Genomic DNA, 21,461 nt, shown 5'->3' with positions numbered 1-21,461 from the left:
TGTCACCAATTATTGGATTTTGGACCCACCCCACTCTAGTATGACCTCATCTTAACTTGATTAGATCTGCAAAGTCCGTATCTCCAAATAAGATCACATTTACTGGCACAGGGAGTTAGAATTTTAACATATCTTTTTAGGGAACACAATTCACACCACAACACTGGCACATGAAGAGGGAATAGGAAGTGTCTGGATGAATGTGGGGGAGAGGGTATTTTCCTCCTCTATAGTCACTTAGACAGAAAGAATGTCATGAATCAAGCCCAAGGGCTTGAAATGCTCCAGTGCTTCTGTAGAAAACCAGCAATGCCTCACTCCTCACTCCAGCAGGATGCTTTACTTTCCCTGTGGTAAGACCAGCAACACTTATGATTATTTGCTCCTTGTATGGGTAGAAGGGTCACCTGTGTAAGTATAACACATCAGCCCACCCCTAAAATTTTCAGGGCTCCGGATAAGAACATAAATGGAGACCCAAGAAGCATATGTCCAATTATTTCAAAGTTATATTTCATGCTACAAATTGTTAAGCCAAATATGTTCTGTTCTCCTATTTTGACAAATACACCTTCATTACTACAAAATTTTTATAGGTATTAGAAAGCTGTGGTTTTTATTTAACTGAAAGTTGGCAAAATATCAGATGGTCTGTCTGGGTATTCTGTTGAAAGGCTGATGATGTTAGGATGAGTAATAAAGACATACAAAATTCATAAATTATTATATATTTATTTCACAGAATTTACTGTCTTTCCTTTATTTCAGAAAATGTACTAATTATGTTGTTGTTGCTGGGGGCGATGGCTCACGCCTGTAATCCCAGGACTTTGGGAGGCTGAGGTGGGTGGATCACCTGAGGTCGGGAGTTCGAGACCAGCCTGGCCAACATGGTGAAACCCCATCTCTACTAAAAATACAAAAAATTAGTTTCAGGATTATTTGCACATATTATTTGTTTCTCCTTAGAGTCATTTTTGTTTCCAACTTCAAATTTTCTTATATTTTATTGATATGTCATTTTTATTGGGTAACTCACATGTAGTTTCTATTACTTATAAAAATACATTTCATAATTAAAATACTATGATATGTTATATACATATAATATGTGTGTGTGTTAAATCTTTTAAAAGTAAAAGAAGACTAGATTTGTTTAGGGTTTTGTAAACTTTTTCTAGCATTATTAATAGCACCCATCCATTTATACCAAATAACTGTGCACAAATTATACTAATTATAAAATTTATTCTAATTATAAATTACTTTGATTTTCTGTGATGACTACAATTTTCTTTTTGAGCATCTTTTGCTTAACTCTCTTGGTGCAACTTGTATTTCTTTATGTGTCCAAGAGATGCTGTAAGGTTTAATCAAAACATTTCATATTTTAAAAGAACCAGAAAATATTACATATAATCTATGTACTATTCCCAATAATGTCATGGATAAGGGCACAGTAAAGGCCATGCCTCCTAGTAATAAGCACAAAGGAATTACACAAAAGAGTGCCAAGTACAAAGATAGATTTGGAGCAAACTCTTGGCTTGTGCACCTTTTCCTTTATCAGCCATGTTAGCACCATTTTCGGAGGCTTGTCATTGATTAACTTTTATTTTGAAAGAGAGATCTGTTAAAGAATACAAAATTATAGCCAGATAGGAAAAATAAGTTCTAGTGTTCTATAGTACTGTAGGATGATTATAGCTAAAAATTTATAGTTTCAAATAGCTAGAAGGAAAACATCGAACATTCCCAACATAAAGAAATGATAAATGATTGAGATGATGAATATGCTAATTAATTACCCTGTTCTGATCACTCTGCATTACATGTATTGAAACATCACTACATACCCCAGGAATATGTACAATTATTATTTGTCCATTAAAAACATAAAACATTTAAAAAGCAAAGAAAAGCTGTTTTTAATATTTGTGTTTTATTGATTTTTATTACTTTTCGTATAAAATTAAAACTTGAGAATTCTAGCTTTCAATGTCCTTTTGGTTGCTAATGTAAAGAGGTGATATCAAATTTCTGGCATTATATAGATATATAATATATATTGTGCATATTATTATATATAATGTATATATGTATTATATATTATATATTTATATATGTGTGTATTTATACACTTATTGGATTATTATATATTACAAAATGTTCCTCAGTTACCATGTGTGCTGTAGCACAGTGTTAATTCATGGGTCCTTCCTGAATCACAAATTAGAACACAAAGAGAAATAAGAAAATGGATGCTGAACACTACTATGAAAAGATACTTTGTTAGACAAAAATCTAGAGCACTCATGATATCAGAGAGGGAAGACTGGATAAATTAATTAAGTTGCCTTTTCTCTTATCAAGTGCTCCTGCCACCCAAATCCTCCTCAAACTCCAAATTAGTGTCTGTTTCCAAAGTTGGCAGTGACTAAGCCCGCAAATCTCCACAAATAACTATTCTTTCAAGGATATAGGGTATATAATTTGGCGTCTCAGGGACTTGATGATGTGGGTCCTCTAACATACAGAGCCCAAGGCAGAAGCCTGTCCTACCCAGGGCTTAGGGTAATGCTGCAAAAAGTCAATTCCCTGGGACTTTATTCAGTATAGCTCATGGCTCGCTGGCTCAGTACCATAGGAACTTAATGGAAAAAAGTGGCCATTCTAAACATATGCATGAAATAGGACCTCCCCACAGCATATGAGTATGCATATACATATCTATACTGGTAAAGTGAGTTTTAAAAGTCCATGTGTATACTTAATTGAAATCATTTTGTGATGATGAGGGTGATATAAATAATAATTTTTAAAAAGACAAGGGGAAGAAAGGCAGCTACTGCTTTTCAAATAATTCCTACATACCAAATACTGTGCTATATACTTTATGCAAATTATCTCATTTACATTTATTATTCTTATTGTACAGATGAAGAAATGGAGAACCAGAGAAGTTGCATGACTTACACAAAGTCACATAGTTGATAAGTATTAGGAGCAGATTTGGATCACAGGTTAGTCTGACTATATAAAGTTCATGTTCTTAACCACTGTATTCTTGCACAGCATTTAATTTGACAGAACAAGGCAACATGAATCATTACTCTATTTTTCTCTATATTTTAATTATTAAAATGAAAATCATTCACAAGTAATAAAAGACAACATTCTCATTAAAAGAGTCAAGAAACACAAAACTATAGAAGTCAAAAAAAACCCCAAAAAACTAAGTTCTTCTTTTATAGTTCACTAGAATTTTTTTTTTTTTCAGGTAACTACTGGATATAGCTTAGTGTATACAGACATGTGTATAGCTTCCTTTACATAAATTAAGTAAAAAATAATGTATTATTCTGTGACTTGCTTTTTTTAAATGTAGTAATGTGCCATGAGATATTTTTACGTTTGTATCTCTAGATGTATTTCATTGGATTCAGTGGCCCAGCATTTTAACTATTCCTGTAGTTCTGGAATTTAGGCCATTTCTACTTTTTGCTTTTAAAAGTGCTGCACCAAAGAGCCTTATATATATGCCTTGGCAGGTACATTACCTTTGAATAGGATTTGAATTGCTAGGTTACAAATTATACTCTTTTTCAACATTTTGGTAGAAATTTTGGTTGCATCTGCCAAACTGCCTTCTAATACTACTTATTTATATTCACACCAAGAGCAGACATAACTTTTTCTGCCATGGGAGATAATTTTATTTAAGGGGGTATATTTGGAACGCCATAGCTAAACCACCACTAACTATATCCAAATGGTGCCCAAAGTTTATACAAATCTGCTTAAAACATCCAGCAATGAGTGGATAAATGAATAATAAACTATTTTTCCATAAACAGAGGTACACCTTTCTCTGCATAAATCTTTGCTACAACATACTGTCTGCAACTTTTTCTTCCTCGTGAAGAACAAAACCATGAATCAATTGCAAATTCAATGTAAATTGGTTTTTTTCAGGTTTTGGGGTGATGATGATAAAACCTGCATTAGTACTGTGCTTTTAATTTTCAAGCTACTTTTATTAATCTCATTTCCTCCATGAAGCCATAGGATTTTTAAATGAAAAGAATTTGATAAAGTTTTATTGGATTTGGCTGTGTATAAAGATAGATACTGAACTTTCTCCTGGTTGGAATGTGACCTCAAGAGCAGGGACTCTCTCATCATAGTCTGCTCATGTCTTTGCACTGTGTTTGACTTTTAGGAGACAAATAAATGGACTAAAAGAGCCTGGTTCAAGCTTTCCCTTAGTAGAACAGGAAACAGAGTGCTAGAGAGTTTGAGATACTTAAGCAAGGAATGAAGTTTATTAATGGTGTAATCGGAAGTCTTGGCAGCCACAGTTTGCTGTGCTTTGCTGTTGCACACAGCTTTGGTCATATGTGGCTCTTTACTCATAGCCAAAACGTGCCGTGATCAATTGGTTCTTAAAATCGAGGGCTCCTCTGAGTATATTTTTTTACTGTGTGCTGAATGCAAAGTAGCTATTTGGTTCAATTTTTCCCCCTAATTTACAATCATCTCCCCCCACCCCCACTAACAACCACCGCCACTGTTTCATCCAGTAAGTTAAGTAGAGAAAACACACACTCTGTCTAGGCATCCAGCTGGATTTCCCTATAGTCTCATTTGGCACATTTCATTGTTTTACAGCTTCTCTTCTCTCCTTTACCACAGTGCTTTCAATTTTCTTTCTGGCATTTCATGCAGATTAGAGATTGGTGGGAAAATACTACATACATAGACCTGAAATTCCTAATTTATTCAGCCAAGGAGCCTGACATTAAGGGAAGCCAGGCAGCAGTATGGAGCAGAATCAGATACAGCCTGTCTAGGAGAGCTTCTCCCTGAAGCTTTGACTCACAGATGGTGCACAGCTGCTGGTGACACTCTCTGACCTGGTTAGGAATCCTGAGCAGAAAACACCTTGAATACTTGCCTTCCCACTGCCTTTTAAACTTGGGACTTCCATTGTCCAGTCCACAATAACTCTGACAATCCTGGCATTCTTGTTTAAAAGGTTCAGACTGAGCTGGTTCTGGAGCCAAATACATTATCATATAGGCCACACCCTTCTCCGAGGAAGGAAAGCAGCATCCGTGCTTGACAGCCCTAGCACTGTGTCTCCGACCCTGTTTTCTGGTGATCTAGAGGGCTTACTTTTTTTTTTTGTTTCAGAGAAGGAGTCTCTCTCTGTCGCCAGGCTGGAGTGCAGTGGCGTGATCTCGGCTCACTGCACCCTCTGCCTCCCAGGTTCAAGTGATTCTCCTGCCTCAGCTTCCCAAGTAGCTGGGACTACAAGCACGTGCCACCATACCCAGCTAATTTTTGTATTTTTAGTAGAGACAGGGTTTCACCGTGTTGGCCAGGATGGTCTTGATCTCCTGACCTCGTGATCTGTCCACCTCAGCCTCTCAAAGTACTGGGATTACAGGTGTGAGTCAGTGTGCCCGCAGAGGGCTTAATCTTTACACTTCCCAACTGCTAAAGCAGAGGGCCAGGTTCAGTGACACCTACAATTATGATAAAGACATGGCCTCTGGCCTCTAAAGGAACATTTTGGTAGGTAGAGTAGTTCATGTCTTCAAATAATAGGACAAACCAGTATGTGATCAACATCCTAAGAGAGTTCTAAGCCTCTAAGAGAAAATAATTAATTCTATCCAAGGTGGCTGAGGAAAAGATAAAAAGCCCAGAGGCCAGAGAAAGCATTTGTTAGTCAATTACCACATGCCCACACCCAAACAGCCAACATGGTCTACTCACACCATCTCTTTCATGGGAATAGTGCTTTCTACTCCTGCTAGCTAAGCTCAGAGGGATGCACCAAGCTAAAAAGAACAAGTTCTTCCAAGGGAACATGTTATGAACTCATTCACAGTTCAATCAGAGGAAGACCCCAGCACTCTGACAAGTATTATCTCCAGGAGTTAAGAAAAGATGTCAGCAATTCAAGCCAATTCAAATTACTTATTATAGGTTGAGCATTTATTTAGCAAAATCATGGTTTCTATAAAAGTGCGCTGTCCTTGTCATTGATTTCATAGTGATTTGTTATATAGTTGGGTTGCTGTGGCTTTTAGCATGGCCCTAAACATATCTAGTAATTTTGTAGTTAAAATATATATAAGGTAGAATATATAAAATATGTAAATATTTAAACATATATGTTCACATTGTATATTATATATATACACACATATATATATAATAGGTTAGAATACCATGGAGAAGCAAAGAGGAACTAATGGTGTTGATGAATTATGTCTGTTTATAAAATACCCTAAGGGCCGGGTGCGGTGGCTCACGCCTGTAATCCCAGCACTTTGGAAGGCCTAGGCGGGCGGGTCACGAGGTCAGGAGTTTGAGACCAGCCTGGCCAGCATGGTGAAACCCCATCTCTACTAAAAATACAAAAATTAACCAGGCAAGGTGGCGCATACCTGAATTACTGGTTACTCGGGAGACTGAGGTAGGAGAATCGCTTGACTCCGGGCAGCAGAGGTTGCAGTGAGCTGAGATCACGCCACTGCACTCCAGCCTGGGCGACAGAGCTGTCTCAATAAATAAATAAATAAATAAATAAATAAATAAATAAATAAATAAATAAATAAATAAAATACACTTCTAGTAAATTATTGGTAAGACTGGTTCTTTATGGCAGTTCTTATATTAGGTAATTGTGTATGTGACTCCCAAGAAGTAATATAGAAGTCGAGGATAGTAATGATATGAAAAAGGTGTCATTTCAAATCAACTGTGACAGATATTAAAACAAGGGGTATATATTTGAAAAAAATTAGATACCCACCTCTTACCAGGTATTGAAATAAATTATATATGTATTAAGTATCTAAGGAATAGACCAACTTGACATGTAGGTTTGTTTCTATATTGAACATAGAAATCTATACCCAACAACTGCAGAATGTACATTAAACATTCACCAGGATGAAACATTTTATGCAAGGCTATAAAATAAAGCTCAATTGATTTCACCTTAAGAAGCTACAAAAAGAAGAGAAAATCAAACCTAAAGTAAGTAAAAGAAAGGAGATAATAAAGATAAATGAAAGGTAAGGAAATAGAAAACAATATGAAAAGCTAAAACAAGAAGTTCACTTTTAGAAAATATTAATAAAATTGATAAACCTTTAGCAAAACTGGATCAAGACAAAAAGAGATAAAACACAAATTACCAATTTTAGGAATAAAGAGGGAATGTTATGACACAGCTTGCCAATACTGAAGAGATAAAAAGAGGATGTTAAGAACAACATAATGCCAACTATTGAATAACATATGAACTGGAGAAATACGTTTAAAAAACACAACTTACCAAAATATACTGAAGAAATAGAGAATAACATTAGATTTATTTTTAAAATCATGTGTAATTAGAACATTCTCACAAAGAAAACTCTAGGATTAAATGGCTTCATTCACTGAAAACTAAAAACTCCCTGAGAAAAGTTAAAGAAGCCTTAAACAAGTGTGTAAATATAACATATTCATAGATTCAGAGGCTCGATATCGTTAAGATGTCAATACTTCTCAAAGTTTGAATTTATTTATAAATTCAATACCTTCTGAACCAAAATATTACCAGGCTTTATTTTAATAGAAAATGACAAGCTAATTTTAAGATTTATAGAGAAATACAAAGGACTTTGAGTAGTCAAGATAATATTGAAAAATAATAAAGTTGGAAAACTTACAACATGATTTTAAGACTTGCTATAAAGCTACAGTGACCAAAGACTTGCTTTGCTGGCATATGACTAGATATATAGGTTAGTAGAACAAAATTGAGACCGGAACATATTGGTCAGCTCATTGATTTTCAAAAAAAAGTATCAGGGAAGGCAGAATGGGGGAGTGACTGCTTAATGGACATGGGGTCTCCTTTGGGAGCAATGGAAAATTTATGGACTAGATATAGGCAATGGTTGCACAACCTCAGGAAGGCACTGACTGCCACTGGACTGTACACTTTTAAATGGTTAATTTTATGTTATATGAATTTTACCCTAACAAAGACAGCAGAAGGGTATCAAGCAATTCATGGGGGTAAAGAAGAGTATTGTCAACAAAATGGCACTAGGATCAACAGAACAGGATATCCATTCTAAATTTAAAAAGAATAAAAGAACCTTGAAACTTTACCCAATGGCATTCACAAAAATCAATTCGAAATGAGTCATAAAGCCGTATGTATAATCTAGAATTTGGATGTGTTAAAGGAAAACAGAAAAAAATGTCAACATGAATGTAGGGTAGACAAAAATTGTTTTAGACAGGACACAAAAATTACTAACCATAGAAAATAGAAAAATTATATTTTATCAAAATGTAAAACTTCTTGTTCCTCAAAAGTTACCATTAAGAAAATGAAGAGACAAATCACAGACTAAGATTTTCTTAAATGGTATATTTGGCCAAGGATTTATATCTGGAATATAAAAATTACTATAAATTAATAAAAACAATTAATAATCATAAATACAATAAAATAAAAACATTTAAAGTAGATAAAACTCTTGAACAAGCACTTTACAAAAGAAGATATATAGATAACCAACAGCACTTAAAAATGTTCAATGTCCCTGTTTTCCTGTGTGTAATCTGAACTTAATCATGAGGGAAAAAAAATCAGACCTACCTAAGGGACATTCTACAAAATAATTGAGAGTAATCTTCAAAAATGTCAAGGTCATGAAAGTCAAGGAAAGACTGAAGGAAGGTAAACAGACATCACAACTAATTGCAACATGTGACACTGAACTGGCTCCTTTTGCCACAAAGAATATTGAGATAATCGTTGAAATGTGAATGGGGTCTCAGATTAGATGGTGTGATGGTCAATTTTACGTGTCAACTAGACCGGGCCACAGGATGCCCAGATATCCTGTAAAATGTTATTTAAGGGTGTTTCTGGAAGAGATTAGCAATTGAATTGGTGGACTGACTAAAGCACATGGCCCTCCCCAATATGGGTGGGTACCATCTAGTTTGCTGAGGGCCTGAATGAAACAAAACGTGCAGGAAGATCGAATTCTTTCTCTACTTGACTGCTTGAGCTGGGATGTTGATCTTCTCCTACCCCTGATGCTCCTGGTTCTCAGGCCTTCAGACTCAGACTAGAATCCACATCATCAACTCTCTGGTTCTCAGGTCTTCAAACTATACGAGCTTGCAGACAGAAGACTGTGGGACTTAGCCTTCAAAGTCATGGGAGTGCATACTTTATAATAAATCCCTTTATATACATGCACTTATCCTTTTGGTTCTTTTTCCCTGACCTAACTAATATATACAGTCTTGATGCATTGATGTTGATTACCTGATTTTGATTTTATTGCATAACATCCTTGTATGTTGGAAATTCACACTAAAGTATTCAGAGTTATTGGGTCAGCAGCTTACTTTCAAGTGGTTAGTAAAATAAGTTCTTTCTTTTGTGCTTGCAGCTTCTCTGTAGGTTTGTGGTTGTTTCAAAAAATATTTTAAAAGACAACTATGTAAAAGTATAGGATATAAAGTATATTCCAAATATGAAAATATAAAACAAACATGTATTGTTTTATGTAGATAAAGGAAATGGAAATAGGTCTGTAGAGCTTTAGATGAAGAGTGGTTACATTTGGGAAAGATAGTTGATTGGGGAAATTAGGAAAGATTCTAGTTTGTGATTCAAAATCTTTCTAGGTTGTTTGACATTTTTATACAATGATAATATAGTCATATATTGCTTATATGAAATGAAAAAGGAGATAAAACCACCACTGCTTTCTGATTATGTGATTTTAATATTTGGGGAGTTTAAAAATCAACTAGAAAACTACTACAAGCAGTAAGAGAACTCAATAAGGTAGCAGAGTATAAAATTAATATACAGAAATCAATAGATTTCATGTATACCATGAAATCAGAAAATGTACAAGTCAGGAAATGTCATAGAAGACAAAAATCTCATTTCTAATTCCAATAAAAAAGATATAACGCTTAGGGGTAAAAATAACAAGAACTGTATAAGTCCTATGTGAGGCAAGCATTTCAGAAGGTCAGGAGACTTAAGCAAATAAAAAGGTATTCTTGAGTGAAAGACTCATCACAAAAATGTTACTTCTCCCTAAATTAATTTAGAAATGTAATCTCAAAAGAACCAAGAGGATACTTTTCAAATAACTTAAAAAAGGTGATTCTAAAACTCTAAAAAAGAAGAGCATTGGAAAGAGCCTAGGACTACCAGACGTTAAAACCGATGATAAATTCTCCATAATGAAAACAGTGTGTTATAGGCGAAAGATTAAGCAGAGTAAGCAATGCACAAAATAAATACTCAGAGACAGACATAAATTAAGGTGGCATCTGAAATGCCACCTGACAAGGCTGACAAGCTGGGCTTTTCAATAAGTGATGATGGAAAAACTAGCCACATTAAGAAAGAAATAATGTTGATCCAAATCTTACATTCTATAAAATGAAAAATTTTATATGAGTCAAATAATTGAATGTCTTTTTTGAAAAATAAAGATACTAGAAGAAAACATAGCAAAATCTTTTATAACCTTGGAGTAAGGTCTATGACTCAAAATCTAAACTCTATTAAAGAAAAAACAGATAAATATATATGCTCACACCCATAAAAATAAAATCTTGCACTCGGTAAAACAAAAACATAAGCAGAGTCAGAATATAGGTGAATAACTGGGGAAAATAATTACAATTTATATTAGAAACATAGTGCTAATTTCCCTAATATACAGAAAGCTCCCAGAAAATGATAAGACTAAGATCCATAATTTAAAAGTAAAGGGAGAAAAAAGATGAATAAACTTTTTAGGGGAAAAATATACAAATGATATTTAAATGAAAAAATACTAAGCTTTATTCATAATAATAAAAATACGAACTAAAACCATACTAAAACAGTACTTTCCCCTTATCATATTGGCAAAAAGCTCAATCATTTTACAGCACATTTTGTTGATGATGCTGTGGAGAAATGGCATTTTCATTCAATACTCAGTAGGAGCAGAAACTGGCTGTGTGGAGGCAATGTGGCAGTAACTATCAAAATTGCAAATATATTTACCATTTGATTCAGCAACTCTGCTTCTGAGAATTTATCTTAATCATACAATCTGCATACATAGACATAATGTCAATGTTATTCACTACAACATTATTTATAATAGCAAAACATTTGTCTTATGTTATCAGTAGTCATCTTACAAAAAATATCATAAACCTGAAAAGTCATCAGTCAGGGTTGGTAAAGTATCTCATGTTACATTCTTAAAATGGAATACTTACACTATTAAAAAAAAAAAAAAGGAGGGAGGGTGACAGAAAGCTACTGATATATAAGATACATTTTTTTTTAGAGCAAGACCTATAACGGTGAATATGGTGTACTCTTTCCAAGAAAAGGAGAAAAATAAAGAATAGATATTTTTATTTGCTTACATTGATATACAGATATTCTGGAAGAAGATACAATAAACCATTGAAAGGATCATTAGGTTTAGATGGAGATGGCGTGGGAGAAACTTTTCTCTATATAACTGATCTTTTTAACTCCATGAGATATGGGGTTAACCTATGAGAAATTGGCAATATTTAACTATTTCTGACCTACAAAAATGTTGATTTTTAATAGTTACTATTACAGTAGTCCCCCACCTCCAGCTCACTTATCTGTGGTTTTGCTTTCTGTGATTTCAGTTACCTGTGGTCAACCTCAGTCCAAAAATATTAAATGGAAAATTCCAGAAATAAATAATTCATAAGTTTTAAATTGCACCCCATTCTGAGTAGTTTGATGAAATCTCACACCATCCCACTCCAGCCCAGCTGGGATGTGACTCTTCTCTTTGTCCAGTTTATCTGTGCTGTAGATGTTCCCACCCATTAATCACATAAAAGCCATTTCAGTTATCAGATATGTTGTCCCAGTACTGCAGCTCTTATGTTCAAATAAACCTATTTTACTTAATAATGGCAACAGTAATGGTGCTGACACATTGTTATAACTGTCCTATTTTTATCGTTAGTTATTATTGTTAATCTCTTACTGTGCCTAATTTTTAAAAATTTTATTTAAGTTCTGGGATACATGGATGTGCCAGTTTGTGACATAGGTAAATGTGTGCCATGGTGGTTTGCTGCACCTATCAACCCATCACCTAGGTATTAAGCCCCACATGCATTAGCTATTTATCCTGATGCTCTCGCTCCCTGCCACTCCCACCCCCTGACAGGGCCCAAGTGTGTGTTGTTCCCCTCCCTGTGTCCATGTGTTTTCATTGTTCAGCTGCCCTTTATAAGTGAGAACATGCAGTGTTTGGCTTTCTGTTTCTGTGTTAGTTATCCTCAGCAAACTTACTGTGCCTAATTTATAAATTAAACTTTATCATGGGTATGTATGTATAGGAAAAGAATAGAATATGTAGAGTCCAATACTATCTATGGTTTCAAGCATCTACTGGGTGTCCTGGAACATATGCCCCTTGGATAAAATGAGACTACTACATTATTACCATTTTATAGATTCTGAAGATATATGAGAGTATCGGAGAACATGGGAGATACTAGGTTTATTGAAATGTTGTAATCTATCAATTACATTAAGAAATCAAAATTTAGAAAAATGCTATTTGAGGAACTGATGCCTTCCTTTGGTAATGGATACGATCCATTAACATTGGATAATGTTAATTCATTAGCTTTCTCTTTTTGCCTTGGCTAACTGGAATCTCAAAAACTTATTTAATGATTGACACATTTTGTCTTGGTTTTTCTTTAATTTTTAAAGTTCCTATAGTATTTTAAAGTTTACTTGTAAAAGGTGTGGTATAAAAATAATTATAGTTGGTATAACTGGTGATCTTCCCTATCTAAGAAAATGGAGGACCTAAATAGTAGTCAGATGTAATTTGATAAATTAAGCCTTGAGTTCAGACAGTAACATAAGAGAGAGAGAAGGACACTGAGTGTGTTATCAAAGAGTCAAGATATACACAAAATTTTGTTGTCATTTGGACCTTTGAAGATATATCCCTGGTTAGAGTAAGTGGAGGAAGACTCAGGAAATAAACTATTAAGGAGAACCCTGGGGACGAAGTGAGGAATGTGCATTAAACACAGATAAAAATACAGATTAAACCTCAATTTCAGGTGGCTGGAAAAATATACGATCTCATCCAAGGGTTTTCAAACTTCTCTGTGCCATGAATAAATATTTTCCCAAAATGACATTTCAAGCAGGATTACATTGGTACCTCTCCCAGAAGCAGAGAGATAAACTCCAGTTCACTACAAGAGAAACTTAAGAAATACTTCCCTCTTACTCTAAGTTCACGATAATTCACTTCTACTGGTCTGAAATAACTGGCTCACAAAGTCTCTCCTAGTAAGTGTGATGTTCTGATTTCACCATTGGTTGCAACCCAGCGTCGGATCCCAATGGTCTCTAGGCAGAATCTGTCCTCTTGTTTGATGTCATCAGTAGTCATCTTGTCAAGGTGGAATGAGTCCCACCTTATCCTCCCAGTAGAGAGGATAAGAATTACCAGGTAATTTTTCTCTCTCCAGCTTTTTTTGAATGACAACAAAATGCAGAAGTGTGGCCAGGGAGAATAATAAAGAACAGGGAAATCGAGGGGAAAAAAGTAAGGATCAGCCAAAAAAAAAAAAAAAAAAAAAAAAAAAGGTTTGAACATTGTAAGCAGAAGGTCACTTAAACCAAGGCAATTTTGGGAGAGGTTCTGAGCAACTTTTTCATAGAACAGACTCAGAACCCTAAGAGGTACAAGCATTGACCAAGAAGATAGGAAATCACTAAACTTAAATGTAGATCAAATACAGAGGTAAATGTTTTATTATACCATGAGCTCCAAAAGGAATAAAGATAGCCATTACTTAAAGGCCTTTCTACAAAAAATAAAATGAAGGAAAATTTTGGAGAGAAAGGGAAGAAATGAGATGCTGCCCAATTGGAACACACAAACGAGCAGATACCTGATCCAGGCAGAAGGCATAGAGTTGCTGTGAGGAACACTGAATTTACAGATCAGCAAGATGCTGCAGCTTCATCTATTTGTTCTTCTGGCATTTCATTCCCCAGCTCAGGAAGTCAACTTCCTGAGAGTTGAGAAACAGAACATAGGTGGTCTTATTAAAGGACAGCTTGTTTCAACCACAACAAAAATAAATAAATAAATAAATAAATAAATAAATAAATAAATAAATAAATGGATGCAAGTCAAATTTGAAATAATTAGCTCTTCTTTAAATTGATTTGAAGTTGTCCACCTTTTTCTTTACTGTCTATGTATTGAAAGCCATTTTTCTCCTAGGGAAACATCAAGGGACTTGGCCTTAGAAAGTACGAGATTGATAAGTGCAAAACTGAAAAAAGATCAGAGGAAACTACCCAATGCAGTATGACAACTGTCCCTTAAATGAGAATTAATACTATGGTAAATCAATCTATTGGGCTGGCTTGCTCTTTAGAATTCCATGAGAAAAAAAAAAATCACAGTGGAAACCTAGTTTACTCCTTACTATTTTCAATGTATAATTAATGACAAGATCTATGGAAGTTTACAGAGATTCTTGATGGCTAGTAACAGAATAAATTGAACACATTCTTAATAGGAGTTTGCATTTGAAATATTACCTTGTGAATATCTGCAATATTAATATTGCATTTGTAATCACTGAAACACAGTGCACCTGGTTCTGTTTCAGAAAAAATGTAAGCCCAACTTCTAATTAGTAAAACGTAAGTGGGATTTCCTTGGTTTACCCTAATTTTTTTTTTTTTTTAAAGAGAGAGAGAATTAAGGTAAAGTGTTTCCTTGGAGCAATAACAGAGAGAACATCACAAACTTTTATCTTGGTGTCTCAAGGTCCTATGTCCTGATTGCCCCATATTGCTAGAAGGAAACAGGAAGGCTTGAGAAGTCTCATGCTCATTTGAAAGAGAAAGTCATTAAGCACAAAGATACCCAAAGGCTTTGGACAACATCTGCTCTAGAATGCAGCTGATCCATTACGCAGAATTAGAGAGTCCATAGCTAGGCACTAAAAGCAAAGAAGTCAATTTCTGAGAGTAGTCCCATCTGTGGAATGATTCATTCCAGTTTAGTAATAAACTAGATGCTCTCAGCAGTGTTAGGAGTGAACTAATGTCCCTTTCCAGAACACCTGTCCTATCTTGCATTTTCTCACTGTCAGGGGCCATTACAGGTATTGTGAGGCTTGAAGTTTATACATTTTTAGGGGGCCTCTATAAAAAAACTAAATTATTATAAAAAAATTAGTTAGAAAAGTGAAGATTTCAAATGAGATAAGGAATTATAATAAATTACAAACCTTGAAAAGCTGACATAGACATCACAAAATCAATGTAAACAACACAATGTTTTATTAATTGTCTGATATACACTATACTTCTTCTTTTCCCACAATTTGTTTGGCGTAAAACCTTTGAAGGGCACTTGTTCATACTGACAATTTTCTAATATCTCTAAAAAGGTAATGGAAACAAAATTTAGTCTGAAACATGGCTGATGAAATTTGTGTTACAGGACTGATAGTTTTTTTAAAAAACTTCTGCCTTCACAACTTATTACTGGTAATGAGATGCAGTATGTTAAGATGCATAAAACATGACTTCACATGTCATGAAGCTGTATAGCTGTTAGGAGTACTTGTACAGGCTTTGCGCCCTACATACATAGAAAATGTGATAAATTTCACACAAATTCCATCAAAAAAGAAAAATATGATTATGCATTGATAATTATATATGTGCATTTCTGAAAATATACTTACAGAACACAACTTCCATTTTGTCTAGGTATTAATGAGAATTGAATTTACCTCTTGAAATGTTACATATCTGAGAGTTGGAAGGCTTTCCCACAGGCCATTTGGCTCCATATATTTCAAACATTGTTTCTCTATTTAATTACCCATTTACTTCAATGCCAGCTGCAAGACGACATGTTTATATCATGTACAACATCTAGCTTTTCACCTTTTTTACAGTTTCAGAGAGTTAGCCTGGTGGGCAAGATTATTTCTAAAACCTGTTGTGTGTCCCACATGCACAGATCCCACAAAACACAGCAGAAATAGATTTCCAACTCAAGTTTCCTTAGTTGGAACCTCTTAACGCCTGTAGCCACTCCATTACCTCCCCAACACTAGGGGAAGAGTGACAGAAAGTTGGGGAGTGAATAGAGGCCAACGTCTTAATCAATGGCAGTCAAATATTTTATTTTGTAAATCTTATGAAAATATACGAATATGCAATTGCATTACTAGAACCCCTCCCAGAGCCTTTAAAGGAGCTCATGTGTGCAGTGATGAGCCTTGAAGCTGAAGTTTCATTAGTTTCACTCTAAACCTACATTTTCGTGCTAGCACATCAGCACAGTTGGGCAATATTGGGTCTGCTCCTACCCTCTGTGCTCATGGCCATGAACTTGAGATGGGACCTCAGCACCTATTGTCCTGGAATTGCTTTGTCCTCTTCCTATTCCCAATCTCAGCCTCTTTCCCTTTTCCTATGCTAGTGTCATCTTTGTCTTCACACTTCCCACATCAGAACCTCAAAAGGATTGCCAGTGGCCTCAATGAAAGGTGAAAACTCTTGACTCCCCTAAGAACAATTTCTTGCCTGACTTCCTTTCCCTTCTTTCTCCCCTCCTCCCTCCCTCCCTCCCTTCTTTCCTTCCTTCCTTCCCTTCTCTTTCTTCTTTTTCTTTTCTATCTTTCTCTCTCTTTCCTTTTCCTTCTTTTGAGACAGAGTCTCGCTCTGTCACCCAGGCTGGAGTGCAGTGATGTGATCTCAGCTCACCACAACCCCTGCCTCCTGGGTTCAAGTGATTCTCATGTCTCAGCCTCCTGAGTAGCTGGGAGTACAGGCGAGTGCCACGATGCCCGGCTAATTTGTGTTTTTAGTAGAGATGGATGGGTTTTCACCATGTTGACCAGGCTGTTATTTATGTTAACTACCAAGTGTCAGTTGGTGGTGGAGGGCAACTGAGAGCTGTTTTCTCCAGTAGTCAGAATGTACCTGCATGTTTGCCAGTTGTGATAGCTGCATTCACAGGCTGGGCGCGGTAGCTCACGGCTGTAATCCTAGCATTTTGGGAGGATGAGGTGGGTGGATCACTTGAGGTCAGGAGTTCGAGACAAGCCTGGCCAACAAGGTGAAACCCCGTCTGTACTAAAAAAACAAAAATTGGCTGGGTGTGGGTGGCGCATGCCTGTAATCCCAGCTACTCAGGAGGATGAGGCAGGAGAATCTCCTGAATCCGGGAGGTGGAGGTTGCAGTGAGCTGAGATGGCGCCACTGTACTCCAGCCTGGAGGACAAGAGAGAAACTCTAGTCTCAAAACAAACAAAAAAAAAGATAGCTGCATTCACATCTACTCTATCATTCAATCCTCACAAAATTCTTATGAGATAGTAAAGTTATCAACATTTTTAAAGATGAGGCAATAAACTCAGGGGATAAGTAATTTGACCAAGATTACACAGTAAGCAGTGAAAGATTCAATTGCAGACATTGATTCCCAATAGCTCCGATTAAATCAGTATGTGCTGAGAGCAGGGAAATACAACTGATTGGCTGACCCAAGTCCTAATCATCCGACTTAGATTGAGTGTCCCTTCAATATCTATGCAGATCTCTCTAGTCACTACTATCAGATTTACCAAATCCTTCCTCCAGGCACAAAACACATCTATCTGGCTCATTAAGACAGAAAGTTATGCACAGGAGGAGACTTTTGCTCTATACCCACTACTGGATTTTAAGCTTGTTTGAAATCTTGACTATATACCATCCAAAGCTCAGAAGGGGTTCAGAAATTACAGAGATGACATGGACAATTATGATTTTTTCCTCAGATGCTAACAGCTCTCGGACAGTCATAAAGCTGATTTGGGTTATTCAGAGAGCAGAAAAAGAACATACCTTTGAAAGCCTACAAATGTCTTTTCAGAAAATAAACCTGAGACTAAGTGGAAGGAAAGGAGAAACCCTAAAAGGAAATACAGATAAAATAAACTAAGAAGTAACATATCAGGCTATAAGGATGAACATGACAACAAAAATAACTAAAAAAAAGTTAATCAAAAGTTTGAAAATGAAAAAGAAATCTTATCTTTATCACTGTTAGTTTTCAGGTAAAAAGCATTTTGATTCTGCGTTTTCATTTCACTCTCATGCTGATTTCTTCATAGAGAAAACAGAACCAGAACACCTGTTTCCTACTACCATATATACAAAACTGTTACAGTAGGTAGCTAGTCAGGCAGGAGTGGGGCAGGAGAGGGTTCCCCACCAACTGCCCTACCCCCCATCCCACCACCAGAAATGTCAGAGGTGACCATTAGATGATGGTCCGGCAGTTATCACACTTTCTAAAATAACAATTGGTTGTAGCCAGTGCCAGAGGAGGCAGTTTCCTGATGGGCCGGCAGTTGTCATACTAAAATGATAACTGGTCCAGCCAGTGCCAAGGAGAGGCAATTTCCCAATAGATAAATACACTTGAGATTGGTAATCAGCAGCTGCCAATAAAATATTCAGGAATTGGGTGAGTGGGCACAAGCATGCACATTAAGAAGCAAAATGGCAGAGTATAACCTTCCAGGGGCATTCCACTGGAAATGGGAAGAATGCTTTAGGCAAGCATGCGTACAACTCCAGTAAACACATTGCACATGCTTACCTCCAAAGTGTTAGCAGGTCACTGTGTGGGTGACCCACCCTGAGGGAAGAAACATGGGAAAAGGGATTCAAGACCCTGGAAATATGCCAACATATAAACCCCAAGTCAAAAGGTCAAATGGCATAGTTGACCCTCACAGTTCCCGCTTGGGTCTCTTCCAAGTGTACTTTTCTTTTTTTTCCTGCTCTAAAGCTTTTTAATAAACTTGTACTCCTGCTCTGAAACTTGCCTCGGTCGCTTTTTCTACCTTCTGACCCTAAGTAGAATTCTTTCTTCTGAGGAGGCAAGAATTGAGGTTGCTGTAGATCGGTCGGATTCACCGATTGTAACCTGGACATTTGCCACCATTAACAAAACCTACCATAACCTAGTTTGATCCTACTCTCTCCTTCCCTCTTGTTAAAATGGACAAGAGTAACTATCCTTTCTCCTATTTAAGGTCTCTTACTTTATTGAATACCATCACAATGTGCATGAAATTATACACAACCCATTAGCCTGTTTCCTGTATATTCATGCCCTCCCTCTCACTTGGATATTCCCATTAGCTTAACAATTTTTGTTTGTTATCAGAGTAGTACATGTACATAATATAAAGAGTCAAACAGTAAAACAAAACTTATTTTGAGAAAGCAGCTCCATGCTTTGTCAATTCCTGCTTCCTGGAGACAAACCCTGCCAACTCTGAACTCTTCACTCTGGAATTTACCTTCCTCTTTCCAAATTCCAAACTTGTTGATATGGCTATTTCTTGATTGTATATTTTTGTTTGTATATTTGCTTTAGTTTTCTATTTATCAAACATTAACTTATTCACAAACTCCCTGCCAGCGCTCTATAAATACATGCAAAAATACTACATGGAAACTCAGATGTGCAGGAATAAGTACAGAGCATTGAAATAGTAAATATGTGGATAAATAGAAATTTTTTTTTTCATTTTTCTTCTCTTATTTTTTAAAAAAATATATTAACTATTTAAAATAACTACAACAGGATATTGTAGGGCTTATAATGTATTTAAAAATAAAGTGTATGACAACAGTGGTGCAAAGGGTGGGGAAGCAATAAATGAAATTAAACAGTTGTGTATTTTTTATAGTTTACATGAAATGATGCAACATTAAGTAAACTAATCTTTTTCATTAAGGATACACATTGTAATGTCTAGAATAACCACTAAAAACGAAAAAAGGTATAGCTAAAAAGGAAACAGAAGAAATAAATTAGGATATTGAAAACTTTTTAAAAAAACACATAAGAGAGGAGACGAACAAAAGAATGAAAAACAGACGGGACATATAAAAAAGAATACTAAGATAGTAGATGCAAATTCATACTTATCAGTAATTACACAATAACATTTACATAACATATTTATAGTTTACACACACCAATCAAAAGGCAAGCTTCTTAGACTGGATAAAAAGCTAAGACCAACATATGTGTTTTCCACAAAAGACTCACTGTAAATATAAAAACATCAAGTTGATAGTGAAAGGTGAAAGTGTGGAAAAATGTGTACCATCAGAATGTAAGCCTAAAAAAGGTAGTGTATATTAATATTGCTAAAGTAGACTTCAAGACAAAGAGTGTCATCAGGGATACAGAAGAGTATTATTTAATGATAACAGATCAATTCATTAGGAAAACATAAAAATCCTAAATGCATGTGTATCTAATAAAAAGAGCTTGAAATATAAGAAATAAAATGGGCAGGACTGAAAGGAGAAATAAACAATTCAACAACTATAGTTGGTGAGATCAACATCCCTCTCTCAGTAACTGATAGAGAACAGCACACAAAAATTAGTAAAGTATAGATTTGAATAGCATTACCAATCAATTGGACCTAATAGATATTTGTGGATTGCTACAGAAAACAACTGACAGTTATATTCTTTTCAATGCATTTGAAACATTTACCAAGAGAAACTACATGCTGAGTACTAAAACAAGCATCAGTAAATATCAATGGCTAGAGTATATCCTCGGGCCACCAGAGAATTGAGATAAAAATTAAAAATGAGCTATATAGAAAAATTCCAGCTATTTGGAAATCAAGCTAAAACACTTCCAAATAACTCCATGATAACAGAAAAATATCACGAGGAAGTTAGAAAATGGTTGAAATGGAACAATAATGAAAACACAATAAAAATAATTTGTAAGATGCTATTATAAGATTTTCTTAGAGGAAAGTTATGGCTTTAAATGCTATGTCAGGAAGGAATAAAAGTGTAAAATCCATGATCTAAGCTTCTAACTTAAAAAGCTAGGAAAAAAATGAAAAAATTAAACAGCATAATGAAAAAGGGAAATAATTAGACAAGTTGGAAATCAATAAAATAGGTAATAAACAACAGGAAAAAAATCAAGAGATAACAAAATTGACCTGTGAAAAGATTAAAGCTGATAAACGTTTACCAAGAGCAATCAAGAAAGGGGAAAAAAGTACCAAAATTAGAAACGAAGAAGCACTATTACTTCATGTCCTACAAACATTAAAAGTTAACAAAAAGGGAATATAATGAACAAACAACTTTATGCCAATAAGTCTGACAACATACATAAAATGGTTATGATAGGAAATAGTAGAAGACCCAGCTATGGCCTAGAAATTGAAATTATCAAAGATTTGAAACTATAATAAAAATGTTGAGGATACAGGAAAGATGAACA

General features: G+C 35.3%; 1 long non-coding RNA gene across 1 annotated transcript; it reads left to right on the top strand.

The window, feature by feature from the left end:
- The first annotated feature begins 273 nt into the window (after positions 1-273).
- Positions 274-3,023, top strand: LOC124905958 (uncharacterized). Its single transcript, XR_007088680.1, has 3 exons — positions 274-353; positions 769-843; positions 2,939-3,023. It is a non-coding gene; the product is annotated as an uncharacterized LOC124905958 (long non-coding RNA).
- The last annotated feature ends 18,438 nt before the right edge of the window (positions 3,024-21,461 follow it).

The sequence above is a fragment of the Homo sapiens genome, chromosome 2 (assembly GCF_000001405.40).
Source record: "Homo sapiens chromosome 2, GRCh38.p14 Primary Assembly".
Lineage (NCBI taxonomy): Eukaryota > Metazoa > Chordata > Mammalia > Primates > Hominidae > Homo > Homo sapiens.
This window is presented reverse-complemented; position numbering and strand designations above follow the sequence as displayed.